This window comes from Homo sapiens, chromosome 13 (assembly GCF_000001405.40).
Source record: "Homo sapiens chromosome 13, GRCh38.p14 Primary Assembly".
Taxonomy (NCBI): domain Eukaryota; kingdom Metazoa; phylum Chordata; class Mammalia; order Primates; family Hominidae; genus Homo; species Homo sapiens.
In genome coordinates, this window is record NC_000013.11 from 76,740,586 (window position 1) to 76,763,836 (window position 23,251).

The following is a 23,251-nucleotide window of genomic DNA, read 5'->3' on the forward strand; positions in this document are numbered from 1 at the left end:
TATGCTGTTGTTTCTGCCACATCTTCCCTGCTACCTACCAGATAGCCTCTCATTCCACCTTGGTTGAGACAGCCACTAATTTTTAAAATACAAGAAGTGGAGATTCTGAGACATTGCCATATATTCAAAGTAGGTGAAATAAATCTCAGTCCACAAAAGGACTAAAACTGCCTAGTGTCTGACTGTAAATACAGGCTGAACATCCCTATGCTAAAAATCAAACATTCAAAATGCTCCAAAATTCAAAACTTTTTAAGTGTTGACATGATGTCACAGCCAAAATACAGGCACACGACACAGTTTATTCAGTCTCCCCCAAGGAAAAAAGATCCTCCTAGTCTCTTTCAGCTGCAATATATTTTCTGTGTGTGTGCAGATTCCCCCACTCAAGCATGCCCACAAAGGGCAATAAAATGGTATCTGTGCAGGCTGGACACATCAATGGCAGTTTCCCCACAATGCCCCATATTGTGCCAAGACCTACATATATTACTCACTATGTTTTATTGTTTTTCTCTTTCTGTGGTGTAAAGATATTATTGGAAATGTCAACAAGGCCTGCAAATATCCCTATGGCTAACAGTAAAAAGAAGAAGAGGAAGCATTTATGCTTATCTATAGCATAGAAAGCCAAGCTTTTGGAGAAACTGGACAATGCTATTACATGTGAAACATCTTACGTAAGAGCATGGTGTCAGAATGACCACCATATATGACCTGAAGGAACAGAAGGACAATCCACTGAAGTTCTGTGCTGAAAGTGATGTACAGAAGTTAATGAAAATAGAAAAACACTGCATAAGGCTCAAAATGAAGATCTTGATTGTGTATAGAAAGAGTGGATCCATCAGTGTTGTGATGAATACATGCCACTTAATGGTATGCTGATCATGAAACAAGCAAAGATCTATGACGGTGAACTAGAAATTGAAGGAAATTGTGACTATTCAACAGGCTGGTTGCAAAAATTTAAGAAAATATACAGCATTAAATTTTTAGACACTTGTGATGATAAATCATCTGCTGGTCATGAAGCAGAGAAGAAATTCATTGATGAGTTTGTCAAGGTCATTCCTGATGGAAATCTGACACAAGAACAAGTTTATAATGCCAACAAACATCAGTGTTTTGGTGTTCTTGCCCTAGAAATATATTCACTACAACTAATGACATAACCCCAACAGGAATTAAGGATGTCAAGGACAGAATAACTGTGCTGGGACGTGCTAATGCAGCAGGCATGCATAAATGTAAACTTGCTGTGATTGGCAAAAGCTTGAGTCTTTGCTGCTTTCAGGAAGTGAATTTCTTGTTATGACATAGCTAACAAAAAAGCATGGATCACCAGGGACATCTTTTCTTATTGGTTTCACAGATATTTTATACCAGTGGCTCATGCTCACTGCAGGAGAGCTGGACTGGATGAGAGCTGCAACCTTTTGTTATTCCTTGACGACTGTTCTACTCATCCTCCACCTGAACTTTTCATCAAAAATATTTTTATGCCATGTACTTTTCCCCAGTGTGACTTCATTAATTCAGCCATGTGATCAGGGTATCCTTAGATGAGTGAAGAGTAAATATAAAAACACTTTATAGAACAGCATGCTAGCCGCAGTGTTCAGAGGCATGGATGTGGAAGGTTTTCAAAAGGAGCTGTCATAAAAGATGCCGTATATGCTGTTGCCAGTGCCTGAAACACAATGACTAAAGACATGGTTGTGCATGCCTAGCAAAGCCTCTGGCCTGCAACTATGTTTAGTGATGATGAACAAGGTGGTGACTTTGAAGGATGCTGAATGTCAAGTGAGAAAAAAAATGATGTCTGACCTCCTTACATATGCAAAATCATACCTTCAGTCTGCCAGTAAGATGGAAGTAGATATCAAAGAAGTTTTTTTTAACATCAATGAGACTCCACTTGTTCTATCTTGACTTGAAATAGCCAGAATGGTTCTCAATCAAGGTGATTGTGAAAATAGCGATAAGAAGATGACATGGTTAACACTGTAGAAAAAGTGCCTATAGAAAACATGGTGAAAATGGGTGATGGGCTTATTGAAGGACATGACGAATCCATAACAGAACAAGAAATCATGTCAATTTATAAAATCAGAGACTTCTAAGACAAAAACCATTTATTAATGAAGTAGGCAATTCTGGAAGGAACATTTTTAAAAGCCATCCAACAGAATGCTTCCTTATCCCTACAGGACCCACTACTTGGTCCCTCAACTGCTTTTGCTATTTCTTCTCACCTGAAAAAAAAATACAGTGGACAATAATCTTTTAATCAAAACATAGCACCACAGGTGGAAACTGAAAGCCTGCCATTGTTTGTTGTTGCTGTTGTTTATTCTGGTGATGGCACTGTGCTGCTTAGTTACCCTAAACACATTAATACACCTATATTAATGGTAGGTTATATTTTTCACTGGCAAATACTTATGTGTGCATAAGAAAATTATTGCTTATTGGTAGCATATAAAGTCAGGAATGATGGTGATGCCAGACAACAACAGACCGTCCACATGGGTGGCTGACATAGTGACACATTTGCTTTCTGATGGCTCAATGTAATCAAACTTTGTGTCATGCAAAATATTATTTAAAATGTGGTATAAAATATACCTTCAGCCTATGTGTATAAGATATATATGAAACATAAATACATTCCATGTTTATACTTGGGTCCTATCCTCAAGATATCTCATTATGTATAGGCAAATATTCCAAAATCTAGGATCCAAAACACTTCTGGTCTCAAGTATTTTGGATAATGGATACTCAATCTGTACAAACCACTCACCTGTCACCTATAAGACTTAAAAGCCAAAGGGACATGAGCTACCATAACCCACTGAAGCCTATACACAACCCACAGGGCATCATAGCCTGAGTGAACTAGGGACTTAAGGCTGCCCTGGAAGTGGCAGCTGCACTACAAATCCCCATAGCTGCCCACAGTTCCAGGTGAAGTTTCCTCCAGTAGCCCCAAGAACCCAAGCTGAAGTTTCCACACAGGATCCAGTAGGGTTCTGTATTAGTCATGGCTCTCCAGAAAGACAAAACCAATTGGATGTATGACATAGCTAGAGATTTCTTTTAAGGAACTGGCTGATGTGATTGTGAGGGCTGGCAAGTCCAAATTTTGTAGAGCAAGCTGGCAGGCTGGAAATTTTAGCAGGAGTCAATGTTGCAGCCTTGAGTCTGAAGATAGTCAAGAGGCAGAATTCCCTTCTCTTGGAGAGACCTTAGTCTTTTCTCTGAAGGCTTTCGATGGGTTGGATGAGACCCGTCCATATCGTGGAGGTAATCTGCTTTACTCAAAGTCTACTGATTTAAATGATAATCACATCTACAAAACACCTTTATAGAATGAATTAATGGCATATGCAGCAACCTGGATGGGATTGGAGACTATTATTCTAAGTGAAGTAACTCAGGAATGGAAAACCAAATATCATATGTTCTCACCCATAAGTGGGAGCTAAGCTATGAGGATGCAAAGGCATAAGAGTGACACAGTGGACTTTGGGGACTCAGGGGAAAGGGTGGGAAGGGGGTGAGGAATAAAAGACTACAAATCAGGTTCAGTGTACACTGCTTGGGCAATGGGTGCACTCAAATCTCACAAATCACCACTAAAGAACTTATTCATGTAACCAAATGCCACCTGTTTCCCCAAAAAAACTATGGAAACTTTAAAAAATAAATAAATAAAACTATCTTTATGGAAACATCTAGATTCATGTCTAATCAAGCAAACTAGGCACCATAGCCTAGCCAAGCTGACTCATAAAATTCCCCATTGTAGGTCCTAAGAAGCCTAAATTACCCCCACGATGCTCCAAATACTATCCCCTGTTCTCCAGGTAACCAGGCCTGGGAGCTGATTCATCCTCCATAAGTACAAAAATCACCTCCCATGGCTCCAGCCCAAACATCAGCGGAAAATCACAAAGCCCCAGATCTTCTGAGTAACCCCAGATCCCAAGGGCAGGTCTCTCCTCTCTAGAGCACAACACTCCATCTACACATGAATAGTGGGGTGCCCATCTACACCCTTGCATAGATCATAACAGAAGCCACTCACCTCACCACTGCCCCTAGAGAGAACGTTGAACTAAACTAACCATATGGTCATAAAATTCACATTCACTTCATCACACACATTTAGGCTGTGTGCCTTGAACATTCAAACAAGACACACTCACACATTCATAGATCACCCAGAGATCTCTAGATTGGTATCATTTTACTTAAAAGTTGGGCAATTTTGGCCGGGCATGGTGGCCTATGCCTGTAATCCCAGCACTTTGGGAGGCCCAGGCAGGTGGGTCACCTGAGGTTGGGAGTTCGAGACCAACCTGACCAACATGGAGAAACCCTGTCTCTACTAAAAATACAAAATTAGCCGGGTGTGGTGCTGCATGCCTGTAATCCCAGCTACCCGGGAGGCTGAGGCAGGAGAATTGCTTGAACCTGAGAGGTGGGGGTTGTGGTGAGCTGAGATCGCGCCATTGTACTTCAGCCTGGGCAACAAGAACGAAACTCCATCTCAAAAAAAAAAAAAAAAAAACTTGGGCAATTTTAGTACTTCAACATTTATACTTACTAGGAAATGTGTTTATTTAATCTCTAGGCTCACTCTTAGCTTCAGAAATAAAGCCTTCCTTTACTGTTTTTTGATAACAGAAATTATAGCTGTAAGAAAATACAGATATCAGAAGATACATTCCAGGCTCAGAAGCAATGTGAAATGGGTCCCTAAAACCACAAGTTAAGTCAGGAGGCAGAAAATACCAAAAATACAGCAAGAGGAGAAGCACAGAAAGCACTCACTTCCCTAAAATTTGCATCACTTATACACAGAGACTTCCTGAAGAGCTCTGGAGGCTAAGGGAGATGAATGTCATTCAGCCGGTTTAAAAACAACATACAAACAACAGCATCACCACAAGGGATTAAATTTTCCAAATACTTATTCATTTTCTAGCAAGACAATTGCATGCAACTATAACATCATAAAATGAGTTATTGCAGATCCCAGTAGCACTATAGAAATTAAATTAGTTCCTCTATTCTTAGTACAATTGATTATTCAAATTGTGACCGAGAGCTGCAGACAGTGCCCAAGGAATTTTGCATTAAACAGGGAAGTGGCCACCATTTCTGCTTCATGCTGGTCTGTTCCCTCCCCTAAGAGGGAAGCTGATCAGCAAGAACAAGCTGAATTTATATGCCTTGTTATCATCATTGGTAATTAGCATTTACTGAGCATCAAGGGTACACTAAGTTCCAAGCAGAACTTAATGCTGCCCAGTGGGTTGTTGGTCTAATTTCAGCCCCAGCACCTCAACAAAGACCAACCACCAAAAACCCAAAGCAAGAGGGTTCAGACTTGCCTTATCAGACCGAGAGTTGCTTGATTACACAACAGGAAAAAGAAGTGGCCAGAAAAGAACTTGAAAGAGGAAAGCAGATCTTTTGAAATGTGTCATTTCTTTCCTTCACCCATTGACCTCTTTTGTAGGACTTTTGCAAAGGAGGGGATCATTATTTACAGAAATGGTTCACAGCATGGTAGAGAAAAGACCCAAAAATTATTAAAGATTACTTGTTGAATAGAGGAGGTTTTGATTTCTGATGAAAGTAAAAGTTCTGGCCAGGCACGTTGGTTCACGCCTGTAATCCCAGCACTTTGGGAGGCTGAGGCAAGTGGATTGCTTGAAGCCAGGAGTTCGAGACCAGCCTGGCCAACATGGTGAAACCCCCTCTCTATACTTAAAAAAAAAAATACAAAAATTAGCCGGGCATGGTGGCACGGACCTGTAGTCCCAACTACTTGGGAGGCTGAGACAGGAGAATCACTTGTACCCAGGAGGCAGAGGTTGCAGTGAGCCGAGATCCCATCACTACACTCCAGCCTAGGTGACAGAGTGAGGCTCTGTCTCAAAGAAAAAAAAAAAAAAGTAAATAGTCTTCAACATTCAAGTTGTAGAGTGCAGAGTCCCTGATAAAACCAAAAACAGCAATAGCCCCATATTTCCATCACATTTCAAATGTAATCATTGCCACATATTAAATTTGAAATGTGAAGAAAATTTCCTTGTAACAAATGGAAAACCTAATTCCTGCATTACAGTTGGTCATTTTGGTCTGAGTCAAATTCCTGTTGTACTAGTCAGGTGACCTTAAACTTAAACACTTGTGTGTCTCAGTCTTCTCATCTCTAAAATAGGGATAGCAATGAAATCAACCTCAAAAGGTTGTTGTGAGGATTAAGTGAAATAACCCATATAAAACTGCTTGACATAGCTTAGCACATAATAGGTGTTCAATAAATGTTAATCGTAATTATAATGTGAGCTCTTTGCAAACTGTCAGGTATGACACAAATGCAGGTTATTACATTGCCCTTGTACAACATGAATCATTAAAAAATCAGATCATAACTACTTCCAAATACCTTTTTTTTTTTTTGGATAGAGAGTCTCGCTCTGTCGCCCGGGCTGGAATGCAGTGGTGCGATCTCAGCTCACTGCAACATCTGCCTCCTGGTTCAAGCGATTCTCCAGTCTCAGCCTCCCCAGTAGCTGGGATTACAGGTGTGTACCACCATGCCCAGCTAATTTTTCGTATTTTAGTAGAGACACAGTTTCACCATGTTGCCCAGGCTGGTCTCGAACTCCTGAGCTCAGGCAATCCACCCGTCTCGGCCTCCCAAAATGCTAGGATTACAGGCGTGAGCCACTGCACCCGGCCCAAATAACATTTTTTATGTAAGTAGACCCACATGACAAAACAAGGCACGTCATGGTGAGTTTCCTCTTGACTAGAGGAAGCTGAAGTGAACAGAAGATGCTCTTCAGAGCTGGGAGGAAGATGATGGAAGAGGTGCAGGTCTCAAAGACATGGAATCAACCCAGATGCCCATCAATGGAGGATGCTTTTGTCTTAATAAGGGACTCTACAACTTAAATGATGAAGAACTTACCTTCTATCCTCTTTTCCTCCTCTACTCACACACTGAAATGGAACTATGGTTAAGACTACGTGGATTCAAATGCTGCCTGACTTTGAGAAGTTTACCTCACCTCACTGTGCCTAATTTCCTCATCTGTAAAATGCAGACAATGGAAATGGTATATAGACACCATGAAATATATGCAGCCATAAAAAAGAATGAAATTGTGTCCTCTGCAGCAACATGGATGCAGCCAGAGGCAATAATCCTAAGTGAATTAACACAGAAACAGAAAACCAAATATCACATGTTCTCACTTATAAGTGGGAGCTAAACATTGAGCACACATGGACATAAACATGGGAACAATAGACACTGCAGACTGTTAGAGGGGAGAGGGAGGGAGGGAGATGCAAGTTGAAAAACTACATATCAGATATTATGCTCACTAGCCAGGTGACAAGACCCTTACTCAAACCTCAGAATAAAGCAATATTCTCACGTAACAAACCAGCACACTTATCCCTGTATCTAAAATGAAAGCTGAAATTTAAAAAATAAGTTTTAAAACAGGTACACATTTCAAACTCTCTACATTTAAACTAAACTGAAGAATCTTATTCCCTGGAATGTCATTTCTGTTTCTGGTACAGTCACAATTGTCATCTTGCAATGTATATTAACCCTTAAAATGTTTTCTGAGAGTCAATTTATAGGATTGTTCTGCATTAGATATTTGGAAACTTCCTATGAAATTTCAAAAACAATGTAATCCCCAACCTCCACCTTTCTATCTCCTTTCTCCCTATTCACACACTCAAATAGACTACATGGATTCAAATGCTGCGTGACTTTGAGAAGGTTACGTCACCTTTCTGTGCCTAATCTGTGCATTATCTGTAAAATGCAGATAATGGAAATCTTTATATCAAAAGTTTGTTGTGTGAATTAAATGTGATATATGGAAAATGAATAAGAGATCAGAATCACCATTATCACCATCTTCATCATCATCATCTTCATTATCATTGTTACTACACATATTCCTCACTCCTCTAAGATTGACAGTTCATCATCTCTGTGAAACTTCCAAATCACCTTTCAAGGAAACCAGTAACACTAAGTAACAGAATAAAAGCACAGATGTCGATGGATCACAAATGCCCTACACAAGAGGCCTGAATTAGAAGAGTTCGCAGCATGAAAAGAAAGGCCTTACATGAGTGTTGAGTGGGGAATGAAATATAATATCCTTATGCTCACTAACGATTAATATATAGCACAAGGGAATATTTTTTAGAAATGACGCATCTGAGCTTCAGACCCAACCACCTGGTTTTACAGATGAGGAAATCAGGACCCAGAGATAAACAACTTGCCTAATGACTTTATACTGGAGACAAGAACCCAAGTCTCCAAGTCCAGTGCTCTTCAGCCATCCCTGGCTTCCTGACAAGTTGTAAAACTCTGATGCAGATTTAGAGACCAAGGAAAGGTAGGGTCAATGCTGGGCCTTGTGCATTGGGGGCTATCCCAGTTGCATCCACCAAGAAGCTGATATTCTTCCCTTCCCTTCTCCTCCTTATTTCCTTCTGGTCAATTCTTCTTTCTCTCCTAGGTCACAGCCAGCCTTGTAAGAAGATGCTGCACTAACATGGCTTTAGCAATAAAATGCAGGTACCCAGGGTTAAAGCCCCTCTCCTTCCTCACCCATCTCCTCACCCATGGCTCCCCTCTGTCCTGGTCCTCTCCATTTCAGGACTTTTTTTTTTTTTTTTTTTTGAGGTGGAGTCTCACTCTGTCACCCAGGCTGGAGTGCAATGGTGCAATCTCAGCTCACTGCAACCCCCATCTACTGGATTCAAGAGATTTTCCCACCTCAACCCCCCACGTAGCTGGAAATATAGGCGCCTGACACCATGCCTGGCTAATGTTTTTGTATTTTTAGTAGAGACGTGGTTTCACCATGTTGGTCAGGCTGGTCTCAAACTCCTGACCTCAAGTGATCCACCGACCTTGGCCTCCCAAGGTCCTGGGAGTACAGACAGGAGCCATCACATGGAAGCATCTCAAGACTTTTGATCACCGGCCCTGTAGCCTCTCCCTCAGAGCCTTATTTCCTTGCTTCTCTTCCCTTCTACCCTCTCACCTTTGCCCTCACCCTCCCATGAAATGGCTTTTTTCTTACTCACAACCCACATCACCAGGTTATCCCTCACTCCTTCTGTCAATCTCAATTCCAATATCCCTAGTTGAGTCTCTTTCTGAATAATGCCCACCGACTGCCCAGCCATATTCAGGCACCTCCCTTCCCTTGCATCCTGCCACTTACCACACTTTACATTTCTACTTCCATAGTACCTAGGGCTTTTGAGGACAATGGCCATCTGCTCCCCAGTCCCTGGTATATAGCATAGTTCCTGGCTCAATACTAGATTATCAACAAATATTTGTTTGGATAATGTTAGCTTATCAACAAATATTTGTTTGGATGAACATAACACAAGTAAAAATATCCAAAGTATTCCATTTAGCTGAAACTGCCATTGTTTGCATGTCAGTGACCTAAAACCCTTTCATGGGTTCCATAAATGATGAAATAAACAACTATTCTACTTTTTGTTCTCCTGGTTGTTTCCATACCTCCTCACATTAGACATTCCTTCCCCTTTCATATTTTCCTTTCTTCCAAAATCCAAAATTTCAAAATTAACCTCTCAAGGGGTTAAAAGAGAATTGAGGTCACAGGGTTGCATGAATTGCCAAGTCATTGACCAAATAGGAAGTACAATTATTGCAATGATAAATATACCAAACTAAGAGTAGAGACATCTCATTGCATAAAACACATGTGCTACAGCTGAAAGAAGGTGCACTTGTTCCCCTGGTGCATTCCTTCTTCTATGCTTTCACAGTTTCTTTTTCCACTTCAAACCTCCAGCCTCACCCACCTATTCTCATCTGTAGCAGCAATGACCTTGCTTACCATTTCACTGGAAAGATAGAAACCACCCAAATAGAACTCCCACAAGATAGCCCCTCCGCACACATGGCCTCACCCATCTGCACCTTTAAACTCTGCTTCTCTCCTGGAAAAAGCTATTGCTTCCACATTACCTGTGCACTAGATCCCAACCCTTCTTGCCTCCTCAAGGACATTTCTTCAGTTATTCTCTCCTCTTTCCCATACCATAAAAGTTGCCTTCTATACTGAATCATTTCCACCAGAACAAAAGACGTTCTTTCCTTCTCGTCATAAAAAAAGGGGAAAAAAAAAACCAGAAAACTTCTCCTGGTTTCTCTACATTTTCACCTTCCCTTTCTAGCAAGATTCCCCAGCAGCTACTATAAGCAGTGTTTTCAATTTAACTCTTCCTATTGTCTTTTGAATCCACTCCAGTTATACTTTGACCTTCTGTCCTTCAATACCCCATGGAGTTCTCTCATACCCTCCAAACTGCTAAAGCTATGGTCAAATCTCTGTCTTCATCTTGTTGACATTTCAGCAGTATTTGAGACAGATCATGACTATCTTCTTACAACCTCCCTCACCTACATTTTCTCTTATTTGTCTGGGCACTGTGTCCTGGTCTTTTCTGGTTCCTCTTTATCTCTGACATCTTTAAATGTTGGCGCATTCTAAACTCAGCCCCAAATTCACTTCTCTCTATATACTCACTCTCTTGGTAATCTCATCTAGGTTTATAGCTAAAAATGCCATTTTCATGCTGATGACTTCCAGAGATGTCAACTGGGTATCTTAAATATATCGTATCTAAAACTGAGTTCTCAATATATACCCCCAACCTAGCACTTTTGATGATTAATTGCAATTCAAATCTTTCAGTTGCTCAGGCCAAAACTCTTGGAGTCATCTTTAGCTCCATTTTCTCCTATACCCCACATCAGCTCAGTCAGCAAATTCTGTTGGCTCCATTTATTTTTTGCCTTCATCAGCGTCTTCTATTATTATTAAAGGGCACTAAGCCTCACGCAACTACAGGAGTTTAAAAGGAGCCACAAATACTATCAAGAATCCCAAAGAACACAAAGACTCCAAGAATGAGCCACAACTCTGCTGACCCAAGGCCCTCCCTCCTTCCCTGCTTCCCCTGACACCTCTGCCCTACCGCCATGTCAGCTAATCATATTTTTCACAGGAAGCTGCAAAGATAGCACAGAGAGGTCCTGCATACATTTCACCCAGATTCCTTCCATGGTTACATCTCACATTTATAGCCCAATATCAAACCCAGGAAATTGACACTGTATGTGTGTAGAGTTCTGTGTCACTTAATCCTATGTGTGAATTCATGTAATCACAACTGCAATCAAGACACAGAAACTAACCCATCGCCACAAAGGACTTCCTCATGCTACCTTTTTATGATCACACCTACCTCCCTCTGTATCCAAAACCCCTGCCAACCTGTTTTCCATCTCTATAATTTTGTCATTACAGTAGTGTCATATAAATGGAAATGTACAGTATGTGACCTTTTGAGGTTGGCTTTTTTTTTCACTCTGCATAATACCCTTGAGATCTACAGGTGTTATTTGAAGGACATTTTTGTTATTTCCAGTTTTTGTCAACTATAAATAAAACTGCTGTGAATAAATTTGTACACATTTTTTATGTGGACCTGTTTTCATTTCTTCAAGATAGGTTCCCAGGAGTTCAATTGCTGAGTTGTATGGTCAATGTGTGGCTATTTCAGTTTAGTTTTCATTTGTTTGTTGGCTTGTTTTTAGAAGGTGCCAAACTACTTTCCAGAGTGGCTGTACCATTTTACATTCCAGGATGTTTGCAAGCCCCCTGGTCCAAGTCACTGTCCTCCCTCCCCAAGACCACTGTGATAGCCCCTTAACTGGGGACTCTTCTTTGATCTTTGTTCACCCCCTACCACTTCTGTTTTCAATCTAGCCCCAGACTGATTCTGGCAAAATGAAAATCAGGTTGTGCTATTCCTCTGCCTGAGACCGTGTAATAGCTTCCTATCCTACCAGGAGTAAAGCCAAATTTCTAATGGCCTGCAAGGACCTCTATCTTTTGACTCTTCCCTGTTCTTTGACTCTGTTTCCAATTATTCTCCCCAAAACTCACTCCTCTCCAGCTACTGTGGTGGCCTCCTCGCTCTGCCCTACATATGCTAGGCATTCTCTTGCCTCTGAGTCTTTGTAATTGCTGTTCCCTCTGCCTGGGTTGCTCTTCCCACATAGTTCATTTCCACACTCCTTCAGGTCTTAATCGAACATCATTTGCCTCTCAGTGAGGATTTCCTAGTCACCCTCTCACCCTACCAACCTTTTTGTTTTTTTCCATAGTACATTGTCACCAACATGTCACATACTTTACTTACCTTGGTTATTATCGTCTCACACGTTTTATCAGAATGCAGGTATCTTGAAACCAAGGAATTGTGTCTGTTTTGTTCACTGCTGAATCCCCAATGATTGGAACAATTCCTGGCATATAATAGATGCTCATTAAAGAAGTTTTAGGAGAATGAATGGATCAATCAATAAACAACTACTAACTGGAAAAATATAACTGCCAGCATTTCATATTTGTTCACAATGTCCATGTGTATAATGGCATTCACAACATTGAAACAGAGGCCAAAGTACTAAAAGCATTTAAAAGGTCCCTGGAAAATAATAAAGATATATTGCAGTTTTTGCATTGTTGGGAATTTGTCATTTCATATTGGAATACATTCTTAAATAAATGTGGTTATGTTATACATCATTTTAATGGGCATTTCTCACTTTAATTTTTTTTGCTAATGACATTACTTGCTTTTTATTTTATGTTTATTTTAGACTATGGAAATGATGTTAGACAAAAAGCAAATTTGAGCAATTTTCTTATTCGTGTTCAAAATGGGTTGTAAAGTCGCAAACACAACTCACAATATCAACCATGCATTGGGCCCAGGAACTGCTAATGAATGTACAGTGCATTGGTGGTTCAAGAAGTTTTGCAAATGAGATGAGAGCCTTGAAGATGAGGAGTGTAGTGGCCAGCCATCGAAGTTCACAACCAATTGAGGACAACAATCAAAGCTGATCCTCTTACAACTACACAACTGCCAAAGAACTAAACGTCGACCATTCTATGGTTGTTTGGCATTTGAAGCAAATTGGAAAGGTGAAAAAGCTCAGCTCAATAAGTCGGTGCCTCATGAGCTGACCAAAAATAAAAAAAAAAAAAATCATTGTTTTGAAGTATCATCTTATCTTACACTATGCAACAACAATGAACCATTTCTTGATCGGATTGTGACATGTGACAAAAGTGGATTTTATATGGCAATCGGTGACAACCAGCTGAGTGGTTGGACCCAGAAGAAGTTCCAAAGCACTTCCCAAAGCCAAACTTCCACCAAAAAAAGCTTATGATCACTGTTTGGTGGTCTGCTGCCAGTCTGATCCACTACAGCTTTCTGAATCCCGGTGAAACGATTTACACCCGAGAAGTATGCTCAGCAAATTGACTAGATGTGTCAAAAACTGCAATGCCTGCAGCCAGCATTGATCAATAGAAAGGGCCCAATTATTCTCCACGACAAAACCTGACTGCATGTCACACAACCAACACTTTAAAGTTGAACAAATTGGGCTACGAAGTTTTGCCTCATCCGCCATATTCACCTGACCTCTCGCCAACATATTACCACTTCAAGCATGTCAACAACTTTTTGTAGGGAAAATGCTTCCACAACCAGCAGATTGCAGAAAATCCTTTCCATGGGTTGTCGAATCCCAAAGCATGGATTTTTGTTCTACAGGAGTAAACAAACTTATTTCTTGTTGGCAAAAAATGTGTTGATTGTAATAGTTCCTACTTTGATTAATAAAGATATGTTTGAGCCTAGTTATAATGATTTAAAATTCATGATCCGAAACCACAATTACTTTTGCACCGACCTATATTTGAAAGTGCACTGGGCCACCCAGCAAGAGTTCTTACATTTCGTCTTGCTCCAGAACAAAATGTTGGAGCAGCTCCAATTCTGCAGTTTCATGTCAGAGCACAGAGCTCAGGAAGCTAAACAGGAAGCCATGAGCTCATTCCCTGATAATCTGGAGAACAAGTCCAGGTACAATTTACATTCCTGCTTTGATTGTCAATCCAAACCAAAAGATGGAATTCTTGACTCCTACAATAACTGTATCTTAAAGCCTAAAAGAAGAAAACTTTACCTTATTACCCGCTGCATTACACTTTTTTTTTTTTTTTGAGATGGGGTCATACTCTGTCGCCCAGGCTGGAATGCAGTGGCACGATCTTAGCTCACTGCAACATCCACCTCCCAGGTTCAAGCGATTATCCTGCCTCAGCCTCCCAAGTAGCATTACACTTTTGAACCAAAATTATGCTTTGTTAGAAATAGAATTTAACCAAAAATAATAGGCAGCGTTTATAGTAGGTATAAGAAAGTTCAACGCCAACAAGAAGAGCTTATTTATAGACTGACAGGTATCAATACATGGATGTGCTAGAAAAACAAAGCCTAAGTAGGTTAATATATATCTCACTAATGCCAGTTGCTATTTTCTGAGTGCTTACTGTGAAAATAGCTAGCAATTACATAGCATGTATTATGTACCACAGACGAGTCTAACCACTTTACACACGTTAACTCACACACAGCTAATGAGTGAGGCCCCCAGGACTTGTACCCAGGCAACTTGGCTCTGGAGTTTGGGCTCTTTTGTCCCTTCATTGTGTGCTAATGTCTGTACCCTCATGTCTGGGGGTAACATACTGTATGTTACTCTCAGGATGTTATTAAATGTTTTAAACCACCCCAGGCGATAATAGAGGAGAAAAGTGAAACTTCGAGAGGTGAAGGAACTAGCCTGAGAAGTGATAAGGGGGTTTCAAAGTGAGGTTTGCCTGACTCTAAAACCCATTCTCCAGGCCTCTTCTGTTTGCATCTGTCCCCTTCTCCCTCTGCCATGACCCTGGCGGGAAGGTAGGCTGCTCCCATTGGCCATCCACCCTCACTGTTCCTCCCCAGCCCAGAAGGCTCCCTGCACATTGACTTACTGCTTCACTCCTCCTTCCAAATGCCTTTACTTCATTTCTGTAGGGAAGAAAATGGGATTAGTCTATTACTGTAGCCTGTCTTTGAATAGAGTATGCTACTCAAATGAAGTTTTCATTGGTCAGTCTTTGGACCCTAAGATAAGAATCTCAGAGAGCATTAAGGGAATATTTTTTATTAACAGGTCTCTTCAGACTATAAATAGTCTATAAATCACACCCCCTGAGTTCTTCGCTTTGTCTGTTATAAGCAAAGCTGGCTCAATACCACAGTATGCCACATACTACCGGTGTGATCTCTGACAAGTCCTGTGAGCTCTCTGTACCTCAGTTTCCCATCTGCAAAAGGGGATAAAAATATACCTACCTCATGGGGAGTGGGAGGATTCATTGAGCTAAACTATGGAAAGCAGTGCTTAGAAAGGTAACAGCAAGTGCAATGTGAATGTTTGCTATTACTGTATATCCCCTGGTCATTGCCCTGGCATGGAATAAGGAAATACGCTTTCTCCCTTCCTCCATCCCCATTCTTCTCTCAATCTAGAAACACTTTCTGCCACCGGTTTCCAAGAAAGCTTGTTTTCTACTTCATAGAGTGGAGAATTGGGTTGCTTTAAAAAACTTGCTATTTGTATCATGTTTTTCTTCCTTAAAGGACTTTTCTTCCAACCAGCATTTCTTTCCATGAGACTAAACACAGGAAGGCTCTTCTAAGAGAAATTTTTGAAAGAATTGTCATGGGTCTCGTTTTCAGGAATGGCCAAACTGGTAAAAGTCTGCTTACCATGAGAAATGTTCACAAACTACCACAAACAAGAGTGTGCACAGTACCTAAAAATGTACTTTGTTCAAATGCAAAAAAAAAAAAAAAAAAAAAGAGCTTTTTTTTTTTTTACATTTACCAGCATTGGAGGGTAACTTTGCATTATTCTGGATGCTTTGCATGCTGCTTCTTAAGCTTCTTTTAAAAGAAATTTAAGAGAAGGAGACAAAAAGAGAATGGCGCAATTAAAAAAAAAAAAAGCACCCTTTGCTTATGTAACTCCTGCCATGGCAATTTAAGGGAAATAGACGGCCTAAGCAGTGTTATCCCATCTCATTGTACAATCCACTGACAATTTTCACCTCCCTTGATAGAAACTTCATCCTTTCCTACTTTTTCAGGGGACTGTTAATCTTTCTCATTCACAATCTATTTCCCAAGCCATGTGAATTCCAATTATTCATGTTTAACACCTTCTTTGCTTTGTATACTGAGAAAAGCTTTGAAACATATAGGCAGAAGCCCTGTGCTGCTACCTACGACTTCAGAAATACTTGAATGTATGTTTCCATAATAATTCATAGCAGTAACTCACAATACTGTAGCACATGCTGCAACTTCAAATGAATGGATAATTGGTCAGGGAATTATGGAGGAAACCAGATAAATAGTGAAGTATCTGCATAGTCTGAGGTACACAGGTTTTCCTAGATGGGATAGCATAAGACACGCCGCTTCCTGTGAGCATGAGGACAGGCACTCTTGTCCTCTGAACTGACAGATCGGTATCTGATGACCAACAGTGATTCTCCTCAACTTAACGGGGTTTTAAAAAAATAAATTTAAGGGGTACAAGTGCAATTTTGGTATGTGCATATATTGCACTGTGGTGAAATCTTGGCTTTTAATGTATCCTTAATTATCCTTAATTTTAATGTATCCTTAATTTTAATGTATCCATAATGCAATATGCAATGTACCCATTAAGTATTTTTTATTCCTTACCCCCCCAATCCTTCCAAGTTTCCAATATCTGTCATTCCACACTCTATGTCCATGTGCTCACATTATTTAGCTCCCACTTATAAGTGAGAACACATGGTACCCGAAATTGTATTTCTGAGTTCTTTCAATGAAGATTATGGGCTCCAATTCCATCTATGATGATGCAAAAGACATAATTTTATTTTTTATGGCTGAGTAGTATTCCATTGTGTATATGTGTATATGTATATATACATACATATATACCATTTTTCTTTATCTAGTCATCTGTTGCTAAACTTAGGTTGATTCCATATCTTTGCTATTGTGAATAGTGCTGCAATAAACAAATAAGTGCAGATATCTTATTGATATAATGATTTCTTTTCCTTTGGGTAGATGCCCAGTAATGGGATTGCTGGATTGAATGGTAGTTCTGTTTTTAGTTCTCTGAGAAATTGTTTTCCATAGAGGCTTGTACTAATTTACATTCCCACCAACAGTGTATAAGCATCCCCTTTTCTCTACATCCTCACCAACATCTGTTGTTTTTTGTCTCTTTAATAATAGCCATTCTGTCTGGTGTAAGATAATATCTCATCGTGGTTTTTATTTGTGTTTCTCTGATGATTAGTGATGTTGAGTATTTTTCTCAGATGCTTTGTAGCCATTTGTACATCTTTTGAGAAATGTCTATTCATCTTCTTTGCCCATTTTTTAATGGAGTTGTTTGTTTTTGTTATTGTTCGGTTGTTTGAGTTTCATATACATTCTGGATATTAGTCCCCAGTTGGATGCATAGTTTGAAAATATTTTATCCTATTCTACAGGTTCTGCATTCACTTTAACAGTTTGATTAAAAAGCAGTTTTTGTTCCTACATGCCTTTCCTTTCCAGTGTCTGCCCTGTATTTAACATAAAAGACATTGGGCCACTTTCTGTTGGGGGTCCTGTGATTCTGCCCTACAAGACATGCTTAGTTAATGGCCTCATCTCAGACAACAGGCCAGCAGGGTCTGTCTGGAGCCACAGCCTCATTACTGTCCATGGCTCTCACATGTGCCCTTGATCATTCCTTCTGTCTGCTTTGAGTAGACTGCCCTCCTTCAGCTCACAGTGCAGCAATTGTTTTGACATCTTGTTATCACACATCCTATTCATAGGCACAGATAAGAAAAGCTGTGTCCAAATAAGCATAGTGCTATTGCATTTTCTTCATTAGATCAGATGATTAAGTTATCTAATTATGGGTATCCTTAAGTCCATGGTGGCCAGATTTACACCATTATACCACTGAGCAAGATTTGTATTGCTGGTTGAATCCAGAGAAAACACAGACTAAATTTAAATTTTGTGTTTTATCCCTTTAGCTTTCCTTAGTTCCAAGAGTTCTCTTTGAAGTCAATGTTCTTAAGCTAGAATGATGAACACATTATTTTAATAAGGTCAGAGCCATGGCTTTAATCTATCCATTTGTCAGTTAATGTCACGCAATTCCATGATCACAGACCAGACTAGTCCCAGGCAATTGTCTCAGAAATGACTATAAGTTACCAGGAAGAACAGCCTAACAAAATGTGGCTAAGTCAGCATAAACCTACCATCCACCCTACAAAATATGAATCATTTTTCTTGTGTAAACAACAGCAATGAATGTTGAAGAGTTCCATTAAGAGTGCCATTCACCCAGTGTTCATGAAAACAGCTCTAAACCAGTACATGTACTAATACCTAATATCTGTAATTAATATCTACAGTGTCAAAAGTTCAGATTCTAATGTTCATGCAAGCAATGACACCACAACCACCAAAGCTTTCATGAATTTTTCTTTATGGTCTTGAAGCATAAAATATATTGAAATTGGCTCTGCCCCAGAGTAATTGTGACAAAGTTTGGCATGCCATTAGAACTTATATTAATAAACTGGGCATAAAGTCCAATCATCAATATACATTCTCTGAAGTCAGTATTTCCCACATCAAAACAGCCAGAAGGGTGGATATCCTGGCCCAAGGACATGGCCCATCTTGTCCCAGGGGTAGATGTAGTCCTACAACTAAGATGAATCAATCAATCTCCTTTTGCCAAATGCCATGGATTATTCAAACCACACAATTAATTCCCCTGATTCAAAGTAGAATTTCTGTGGCTCGTCCATAAGGATGAAATGCACTCATCCACTGATACTAGCACTCATTTATTCACTGAATTCAACAAACAGGCATTATCTGCTTCATTCAGGCTCAGGATTATAGTATCCTCATGGAGCTTCAACTCTAGACAGATATTGATCAAATAATTTTATAAATACATATAAAATCCCAGTCGTGATAAATGAAAAATAGAGATCTAAAAGTGCACAAAACAATCTGAACACTGCAGCATTGATTATCATTATACTCGAAAAATAGAAATAGAATATTTTACTTTCAGAGTTCTTGTGGAGATGAAATTTGATATACATAAAAATATATTTTACACTATACATACCTAGATATAAGTAAGGATCACTTTACTCTGGTGGATAGGCTAGCCTATGCTGCAGTAATAAGTAATAAATAATATCTCAGTAACTGAATATGCCAAAGGTTTATTTCTCACTTGGGCAAAATTGTCTGCAAGCCTGGCAGCTCTCCAGGGTAGCTCCCTTCAAGCAGTGAATCAGGAATCCAAGCCACTTGTATCTTGTGGCTTCAGTATCTCAAGATGTGGCTTCCAGGTCAGTGGCAACAAAAGTCCAAAGCAAGTGAATCAGACAGTCATGCACTGGCTCTTAAATGCTCCATCTCACCACAAGGGCACTACTAAATGCACAGGGGAACATGGATATATTCAGGAAACATTTCTGCCAGGCATAAGAAGAGCATGGCTCTTGAACCGGTCACCTGACTCTTCAGAGATGATCTTCTCATAGTTCAAGTGGGAAGGGTAATTCAAGCTATTTCACAAGAGAAAGGGGGTTAATGCGAGGATCTTTCAACACTTCAAGGAGCCACAGAAAAGGCTATTACTATTATTTCTACCACAACTACCAATAACACCAGCAACACTAAGAAAAATAATAAAAAATGAGTTATAAGCACAACTGGGCTGGACCAGCTTCTGTCAATGGAAAAAGAGAGCCAGTCTAGGTGGGCACCTAAGACTTGGCAGCATCCTCACCAAGTCACTTGCTGGTAGAATACAGAAGGCAGTAGCAGCACCAAAGCAAACCAATACAGACCCTGGCCCTCTCCTAATCTCCTGGTATGCTCAAGTTGACTTCTGGGTCACTACACATTTACCCAGTTTTCCTACTGGCCTAGTCTAAAATTGTCTAATTGGGTTAACAGACCCAGTTTAAAGAAATAAGGCTAAATATACCCAGTTACATAAGCACTTTCTCATCCTGTAGAACATTATCCTAGGTCAGAAATGAGGAATATTGCTTGTTTAACTGGCATAGTTGTCCCTGTTTTCCCATTATGGAGCCAATGGCCCTGATCTAAATTACAGACCCTCCTTTACCTAACTAAAAACCAAGAAGCCAATGAAGAAGCAATTTCTGGTTATCATTATGGCTCCCAATCGTCTTTGGTAAGATGGAAACTCAGGTGATGTTTATCTATTTGAGAAATTTTATTTATTTATGCTCTCTTAAGCAATCATGCTCAGCACCAATATATCTGCTTAATATGCTCCTTTATTGCTTTAGTGATAGATACGACCATTAGGTGCCCAGCATGACAAATGTGTATTTGGGATCTTGTGCAAATTATACTGAACTCTTTATCATGTGTTTCAGTTCTCTATCTGCCTGTGCAGGCTATTCACAGCCAGAGCAAAGCAGCAATGTGCAGTAAAGTTAATGGCAATATCAAAATTTTTAAAAAAAGAAAGTTTCTATAAAAACAAGTAGAGGTGAAAGGAAAAGAAATTAGAGTAATTGACTGTAAGAAAAAAAGTAACAGAGATTCCAGAGATCAAGGATAGACGTCCAAAGGCTTGGGAGATTAATGTAACCACTACAAAAAGAAGATTCTAAGAAAAACAACCTACAAGACCTACTGAAAATAAATGGCTGTTTCAGAAAATTGAATAAAATCTAAAATGCTAAAAAGATAGAAAGGATATAGTAAACTAAACTGCATTTAGTGGCTCAAACCTGTAGTCCCAGCACTTTAGGAAGCCGAGGCAGGCGGATCACGAGGTCAGGAGATTGAGACCATCCTGGCTGACATGGTGAAACCCCGTCTCTACTAAAAATACAAAAAAAAACTAGCCGGGCGTGGTGGCGGGCGCCTGTAGTCCCAGCTACTCTGGAAGCTGAGGCAGGAGAATGGCCTGAACCCGGGAGGCGGAGCTTGCAGTGAGCCGAGATCGCGCCACTGCACTCCAGCCTGGGCGACAGAGCTAGACTCCGTCTCAAAAAAAAAAAAAAAACAAAAAAACAAAACAAAAAAACAAACAAACAAACAAACAAACAAACAAACTGCACTTAGTTATTGTAAGAAGGTTTATAGCTGAAATGTATGTCATTATTAAAAGGTATACCGTGACCCAAAGCGAATCAAAAAGAAAACAGAAACACTTTGCTGTTGTTGTCTATTAAGAGAAGTTATAAAATCTCAGGAAATTTTCTCCAAAACTAAAGTTTGAGAAATCACAAAAGAGTGACAGTTAAAAAAAAAAAAAAAAAAAAAAAAACCTGCTATTTATTCTTGAAAAGATACAAATGTGAAATTTAGAAAAATAAGTAGGGTAGGGGCCAGAGCCATGAGAAGATGGTTTAGCAACAGGTTAATTTATTATTTTGGATCTGGTAATTGGTTTTGTTGTATAATAGTGACAAGAACGGTACAGTGCCAGGAAAGTTTGGGAAGATGCTATCAATTTTACTTTAAAATGAAAATCTGTTGTTTCTGTGTTTTAACATTTTTAGTAACATTTTCTAAGTGTTTGGGGGGATATGGAGGAAGGTGGTTTTATATATGACCTTATTATTGGTAGAGATTCACCCTTAACTAAATAGTAAATTATATTACCATTTTAAGCTTAATTTATGAAAATTGTCCACATATTAGTAAGTATGTCACATGAAAATAAATATGTTGGGACATTTCAAAGAAGACTTGTCCACATGTTTTTATGTATATATGGTGGGGGATATGAGTATGGGTGTGACTGCTTGTGTGTGTAGGGTATGTTTATGTACATTTGTATGTCTTGTGAGTATATGTGTGCCTGTATGATTGTGCATGTGAGTGTATGTGTAGGAGAGTGTAAGTGTGAGTGAATGTGTGAATATGTATGTACGAAAATGTGTGGAAGTGAATATGAGTGTATATGTGAGTGTGATGAGGAGTTGTTGCTGACACAACACATCTAATAAACCAAAGGGGTAAGGCATTTCTATGGCCTGGAAAGGGACAAAGAGTAGAGGTATTTATGGGTTAATTAGCTCGGCAACTTGCTTCTTATGCATTCCCTTAGCCAGACTGCATTCAACACCAAAGTCATTTCCTAAATGGTCCCTTAGAAGCTGGGGCCTGTCTTCTGTCTTCCTTTCACTGTTCTCTCTATCCTTGTTTGCCAAAGAAAACAGAAAGGACTCCAATAACATCCCCTATTAGCTCCTGACCATGTCTGTCTCAGTTCTAGGCTCTATCTCTGCAAGGAATGGTGCCAACCTCCACCGGTTCATCCAGGCTGATGAATTCCTCCAAGCCTTGATTAAAAGCACTTTTTTCAAGAAACCTTCTGTACCCAGCCTTCCCCCACATAGACCTCTCCCTCAACTCCTAAGAACAGCAATTATCATTTGGAGTCACATATTCTAGCTATTTGCTCTCTGTACATATACAAAGCCCCTTCCAGCTTTACAGTTCTATGATTCAGTGTTGTCACCTTCTGATTTAGAGTAAAAGTTTGTCAAAGGAAGGAGGCCAATCTCCTCTTTTATACTTCTCACAAATTACTATAATGTCATGCTCAAATTATTTGTTCAAATCATCTTGGATTAAGTGGAAGTTTTATGAGTGTTTCTTATACTATTCTTGCAACCTTTCTATATGTTCAAAAAATTTGAATGGTTGGGGAAAATAATCTTTGATGAGAAAAATCGGGGAGGTGTTGGATATGTCTATTACCTTGATTGTGGTGATAGGATCACAGGTGTTTACATATGTCCAAACTCATTAACATGTATACATTAAATATATGCAGTTCTTTGTATAGCATTATACCTCAATACAACTAATAGTCTGTGATGAAAATTCAAGGAATATAACCAATATTTTTCTCCCTCTGCTATGTACCAGATGCTCCTTAATCCTTCCAAAAAGCAGCCCTTTTAGATAGGCCCTTTGATCATTTTATAGGTGGGAAACAGGCATCTCAAAATCATGTCCAAGATCACGCAGCTGAGAAGTAGCAGATTCTGGATATGAATTTAACTCCTTATGTCGTTTCCACCAGACCATGTAGCCTAAATATTACTTC

The 23,251-nt window shown here is 39.6% G+C and overlaps 1 long non-coding RNA gene across 6 annotated transcripts in view; it reads right to left on the reverse strand.

The window, feature by feature from the left end:
• Positions 1-23,251, reverse strand: part of LOC105370265 (uncharacterized) — a 94,000-nt gene that overhangs the window by 28,478 nt on the left and 42,271 nt on the right. For 3 of the 6 annotated variants that reach the window (XR_942096.3, XR_001749927.1, XR_942097.3), the window contains exons 1-2: positions 15,027-15,066; positions 12,331-12,436 (exon numbers count right to left, since the gene is read on the reverse strand). The exons of 2 other annotated variants lie outside the window; for them this stretch is intronic. This is a non-coding gene — a long non-coding RNA (uncharacterized LOC105370265). Of the gene's footprint in view, positions 1-1,854; positions 4,261-12,330; positions 12,437-15,026; positions 15,067-23,251 lie in introns of those variants that run through there. One more of the 6 variants, XR_001749924.2, reaches the window with a different exon arrangement.